Source organism: Homo sapiens, chromosome 1 (assembly GCF_000001405.40).
Source record: "Homo sapiens chromosome 1, GRCh38.p14 Primary Assembly".
NCBI lineage: Eukaryota > Metazoa > Chordata > Mammalia > Primates > Hominidae > Homo > Homo sapiens.
This window is the reverse complement of record NC_000001.11, coordinates 12,856,677-12,862,605: the sequence shown is the minus strand read 5'-3', so window position 1 is coordinate 12,862,605 and position 5,929 is coordinate 12,856,677. Positions and strand designations below refer to the sequence as shown.

Below are 5,929 nucleotides of genomic sequence, written 5' to 3'. Positions count from 1 at the left end.
AAAAACCTCATCTCCATTAAAAATACAAAAATCAGCCAGTCTTGGTGAAACGTGCCTGCCGTCCCAGCTAATTGAGTGGTTGAGGCACAAGAATCACTTGAGCCCTGAAGGAAAGGATTGCAATGAGCCCAGATTGCACCACTGCACTCCAGCCTAAATGACAAACTGAGATTTTGTCTCCAAAACAAAACAAAGAACAAGAATGGGTGGGAAATACTTAAAATGATCAAATTTTATTTGGTTGCTTTGATGTTCTACAGCTGAAACTCAATCACAGACAAAGTAGTATTTCATTATTTTTCCATCAGTAACTCAATAACTAGATATTTCTGGTGGATAAATTGCTACAACACGTTAAAAGTTTTCATTCAGGTGCTCTTTATTTCTGATATTCCTTGGTAACCATCCTTGCAGGGATAACATTCTCATCACTGTAGAACTTTAGCTTCTCTTTCCGACTCTGTAGGACACGGGTCCCTGAAGTTCTCATTGATGTCACCTCAACATTTTCCTCCAGCCTTGCCCCCTGCTGTTATGTTTTCTCTCTCACACTGAGCACTTGCCTGTGCTTCCTTTAAGTTGCATGTGGCCTGGACACAGTCACTCATGCCAGTAATCCCAGCACTTTAGGAAGCTGAGGCAGGAGGATCCCAGAGCAACACAGAGAAACCCTGTCTCAAATTGTCTTTAATAAAAATTTTGGAATTATTAAAAAATGAAATAAATAAGAAAAGAGAAAAATAGTTTGCACCTACATAGTAGATTTTAGTGTCCAAGTGCCTGGAAGAGAACTTTGGATTTCTCTACCCCACTGGGCACGCCTTCCCTAGCAGCAAAGATGGAGCTCCAGTTCCTCAGACGGTGATGAGCCACAGGAAGGGCAGGGGGTGGGGCCAATGAAGATCCTCTTGGGCTGCCTGAATTCCCTCAGTGTACACATCAGCTCAGCCCGAAGTGGGGTGAAGATCTCCCAATTGACACGAACCAAGGAATTCAAACTCTCCTCAGGGGCAGGATACGTCTCCAGGCTTAACTTGCTCAGCCCACTGGTGTGGCGCAGCAGGTCCTTCAGGGCGTCAATAGACATGCAATTGCTGCCAAAGTAGAAGGTGGTGAGCTGGGAGCAGCAGCTCAGGCCAGGCAGGATGGCACTGAGTTGGGAGTAGTGGATCTGACAGCCCTCTAACACGAGGGTCTCGAGAGAGGCAGCAATTTTCTCTAGCAGAGCTCCTAGGGGTTCAAGACTGATGCGGAACAGCAGCACGTAGCTGAGATTCAGATGCTTTAGGTAACCGAGGCTTGGGAACTGGGAGAGACACTTCAAGTCCTCTTCTAATAGGTTGCCACAAGTTAATTCCAAGTTCTCCAAGGGGTTCTGGAGGCACCTGTGGAGATCAAGAAGTTAGTTCTGGGCAATGGTACCAGTTAGATGAAGGTAGTGGGGAATAACCTCAAGGAAAATACCTGCTTCAACCAAACACAAGTTTGTTCCCACCATCTGATGATGGTCCTCATGGAAGTTGCTGCATGATGAGGACCCTGATCGTTCAGGGGCTGTCCCATTTTAGCCTCAGCCCTTTCACCATTGCTTGTGTGATTGGGTCAAGGCCATAAAATCTCTAAAGCCTTTTTGTTTTTCATCTTTTAGCAGAAAACTTCATCTCTGGGCTACAGGTACCCCGTGGGAGATGTGAACAAAGAACTCAACTCAGCAAGGTCTAGGGACATCAGCTAGGGCTACATGTCGGCAGGGGCTCCCTGACATGCCTGCATCTGCAAACCAACTGTCACTTTTTACCACTCTCACGCCTACTCCCTCACCTCCATCCCGGAAGCACGCATTTCCCATGTCAATTACCTTTCCTGGAGTTCAAAACAACGTTTTGCAGACAGGGAATTAAAGACAGGATCATTCGTGATCACTAAGCCGGTGAGGACAGACGTTCTATTGTGAAATGGACAGGTTTGATGCGCTTTCCCTCCTTTCATACCCTCCTCTATTATCTCTTTGACATCATATCAACTTGAAACACACTTTGTAACAGGAAATTCACACGTGCACCCCCAATAGAGCTGAAACCCCCACTGACTAGCTTGTACATGATGTCCCTCTCTAGCTTCTACCCCAGGTGACCCCTCTGCCCTTATTGGAGCGATCCTGTGATAGCCACTCCAGGACATGGAACACTGAATGGGACAATGTGTTGACATTCTGGTGTTCCCTTCACTGTGACGTTGCCACTGGCTGGCACACAGTACACGCCTTCTAATGTTTGCTGTAACAGAACAAGTCTGTGCTGTGGTCTGCATACAAAGTGCACAATCCTTTCTCACCTGATCAGCTGTTCCAGGTGCCCACTGAAGAAGGTGATCAATTTTATTTTAAGCAACTGGAGGTGTTCCAGCCTGAGGAACACAGAGGTGAATCTGGTGACTAACCATCCCTCGAGTTCATTATCTGACGTGTAATGATGGCACCTGGAGAAAACGAGTTTGCAAAGAGTCTTCATCTCCTTCAGGTAACAATAAAGCTTTCTTATCAGATGTGGCCAGCACGTGTTGTGAATTTCCAGCTCCCCAATACTATTAATGTATATTATTTTCAATGACTTTCTGAGATATTTAATTGGCGTTAGATAATTGACCAGCTTACTACAGCACAGGTGTACTAAACCTCTCCTTTGGTAAACCCACTGGAAGAGGTATCTCAGGCATTCATCCTGGGGTATTTCCTTGAGGCAGATGTCTATGAACACCTTTAAGGGCTGGTGCTCTCCCGTCCTTGGACAGTCCTCTGCTGTCTGCCTCTTACTCATGGCCTCTGGGAAGCAGGACAGGGCCCAGGCTCCAGGCCATCTGGCCCAGAAATTCTCATCAACATCCCGCAAATCCAGCACTTGAAGTTTCCACCTCCTGTGGGTAAAGTAAGGGAGAGGCTCAGAATTTAGAGGGACTCATCCCTGACCTTTGCTTTCATTCTCATCCCATAAATCAGCTGCTCCTGTCCTCAGTGCTCCCTGTTCTCTTTGTCTTTTCTCAATCCCTTTTCCCTTTGGATTCTGAGTGGTCCCCACTTCTATTCCCTTTACCTTCCACTGAGTAAAGGCCGGCTTCTGTTCCCACAGTGGACCCTGTATGGTGAGCAGTCCTTTCTCTGAGGATCTGGACAATGGCCAAAGCCTCCCTGAGCTTCCTCGCCAACACCATCAGAAGACTCTGGGCCGCACTTGGGTTACTTCTCTGCCTGACCCTGCTGTTCTTTCCCTGGACACCTGAGCCCTATCTACTAGCCCTCCTGGGTCACCTCACCTGGGGCGATCCTTCTGTGTAAGCAGCATATGAAGCCCTTCCAGCAATGCTTTCAATGGCTCCAGATGAAGCGTCTTCATCAGCGATACCAGAGGGAGGCAGGTGAAAGGCCAGGCCTGCACCATCACCGTCAGAGTCTGGAAGTGTCTCCTGCTGAAGGCCTCCCTGAAGAGTGGGAGATAGAGCACCCTGGGCAGCTCCTCCATGGCAGAGATGGACAAGGCCTGGTCTCTCAGCAGGCTCTGCCCCGCCAGCTCCAGTAGTCTCGGTGGGGCCTGGATGCTCATCCTGATGGATCTGCAAGAAAAATCTCTAGAAGACAAATCCAGGGAGAATGTATCACTCTCAGGGCAAACACAATCACCTCATCTTCTCCTAGGACCAATATCATTGCTCTGGTAGAGGTAGAAAAATTACCACTTTACCCCAATTCCACTGTGCTTGTTGGCCTCAAATCTATACTTCTGCTTCTGCTGGTACCAGGAAGAATATCTTCCAAACACCAAGGAGGGAGGGGTCAAAGAGACCATTGACCCATTAATTTTCATCCTTCGCTCCACTGAATCCCAGAACCACTGGACAGTGCCACTGAGGATCCTGAAAGCCAAGCTCTACCTCTTTGAGGAAAAATTTCTTGTCACTTACCACCCTAAAGCATTGAGAATGAGAGTGTCCCGTGGGCCCAGACAGCCTCCATTCTCAGTTCACACCATGAACATGCTGGGGGAACACTAAAGGGACTCCCTAAAATCGATGCCATTATTTTTTATTTTGAAAATTTTCTACCAGAAATGGACCAGGTGCTGTGGCTCATGTCTGTAATCCCAACACTGCTGGACACCAAGGCAGGCAGATCACTTGAGGTCAGGAGTTCGAGAACAGCCTGGGCCTACATAATGAAACCATGTCTCTACTAAATATACAAAAGTTAAGAATCATTTGACTCCAGAAGGCAGAGGTTTCAGTGAGCCGACATCACACCACTGCACTCCAGCCTGGGTGACAGCGTTGGACTCTGACTCAAAAATAAACAAATTGATAAATTAATTAATTTAAATATTAGCCAGGTGTGGTCATGCATGACTGTAATCCTAGCTACTCTGGAGGCAGAGGAAGGAGAATCACTTGAAGCCCAGAGGCAGAGTTTCCAGGGAGCCCAGCTCAGGGCCCTGCACTCCAGTCTGGGTGACGCACTCAGAGTACATCGCAGAAAAAAACAAAATAATTCACTGGAACTGTAAAAGTGGTGTGATGGTATTCCACAGCATTTGGAAGGTATGTATAGAAATGCTAACTGTAGCTGGGCATGCTGGCTTACTCCTGTAATCCCAGCACTTTGGGAGTCTGAGGGGGGCAGATCTCCTGAGGTCAGGAGTTTGAGGCCAGCATGGCCAACATGGCAAAACCCTGTGTCTACTAAAAATACAAAAATTAGCTGGGCATGGTGGTGAGTGCCTGTAATCCAAGCTACTCAGGAGGCTGAAGCAGGAGAATCACATGTAACTAGGAGGCAGAAATTTCAGTGAGCCAAACCACACCATGGCACTCCAGCCTGGGCAACAATAGGGAAACTCCATCTCAAAAAAAAAATCAACCAGAAACTGTAAAAGTGCTACCATGCTATTCTAGAGCACTGTAACTCTAAGATGAAGGTTCCTATAGACATCACTTCCACATACTCACAATTACCCACTTTTTGATGGATCGATCCTAGGGTCAAAAATAAATCCCACAATCTGAGCAAAACTGCACTCTTGAGATTGGTGTGTGGGATACCTTTAAGGATTTTATGAAAATGAAAGCATACTTGGAGGATCACAATAACACCAAGTCTATGAACTGTAATTGAAAGGCACAAAAACAAATAACTTCAAATGTCAAGAAATAAAAATTCATGTCACTGTAAAGTTTTAATATATTTTTAAAAAACCTGCTTCCATAAGAATTTTAAAATGACAAAAACCAAGCACAAATCACAATCTGATGGATGAAGACAAAACTACATTTAGAGGAAAAATGAAAGCCTAAATCTGTTCATCTCACAAAACAGACAGAAAAATATTGTGTGCCACTTTGGGATGTGTGTCACCGTCCCTGACTGGCTGGCTGCTGATCAGATGGGCATGACCCTAAGAAGGTGGTGACTTACCAGCGCTGGACTCACTTTGCAGAGTTCTGGGACCTCTCAGGGAACCAACCAGTAGCTTCAGGTGTGAGTGCTGTGGGTCTCTTCTGGGTACCCTCAGGAGCTTTTATAGACCTTTCTAACCCCACCCTTCCCTTCTCAATCACCAGCTTCCAATCAGAAAGTGATACCTGATTAGATCTTGCAGTCACACCCAGTTAATCCTGATTGAGTTTTCAGCTTTCTTCTGACTAATTGATCGAATTAGATACACATTTATGGAAGTAAAAGAATAAATAATAGGGTGAAAGTCCAAAACTCATTCATTCATTTATTCCCCAAATACTGATGAAGTTTGGCTAATAGATGACTTTCATAGTGATACAGGGAAGGGATTAATCTGTTCCTGATATCAGACAAAAAAAAAAAAAAAACCTTAAGGTGTCCTTATTGGAGGATGTTTGGCCACATCAAAATTGTCAAAATGTTTCAGAG

General features: G+C 45.8%; 1 protein-coding gene across 2 annotated transcripts, besides 1 other annotated feature; it reads right to left on the bottom strand.

Annotated features, from left to right (window-relative positions):
• Positions 1-696: 696 nt before the first annotated feature.
• PRAMEF2 (PRAME family member 2) lies at positions 697-5,520 on the bottom strand. 2 transcript variants are annotated; one of them, NM_023014.1, is made up of 4 exons: positions 5,459-5,520; positions 3,310-3,621; positions 2,335-2,913; positions 697-1,385 (listed from the first exon to the last, which is right to left on the bottom strand). In NM_023014.1, the coding sequence occupies exons 2-4, from the start codon at positions 3,594-3,596 to the stop codon at positions 827-829; spliced, it is 1,425 nt and encodes a 474-aa protein (NP_075390.1). In that variant the 5' UTR covers positions 3,597-3,621; positions 5,459-5,520; the 3' UTR covers positions 697-826. The 2 variants fall into 2 exon arrangements, with proteins under 2 accessions (NP_075390.1, XP_011540306.1); XM_011542004.1 differs by lacking the exons at positions 2,335-2,913; positions 3,310-3,621; positions 5,459-5,520 and adding an exon at positions 1,859-2,152.
• Positions 2,204-3,403: an enhancer, noted in NCBI's record as "CDK7 strongly-dependent group 2 enhancer chr1:12919058-12920257 (GRCh37/hg19 assembly coordinates)". NCBI's record gives its function as "activates an origin of replication core promoter dependent on BRD2, BRD4, P300/CBP, MED14 and CDK7 cofactors, with strong dependence on CDK7, by STARR-seq in HCT116 cells {active_cell/tissue: HCT116}" and the evidence as "EXISTENCE:reporter gene assay evidence [ECO:0000049][PMID:35650434]".
• Positions 5,521-5,929: the final 409 nt, after the last annotated feature.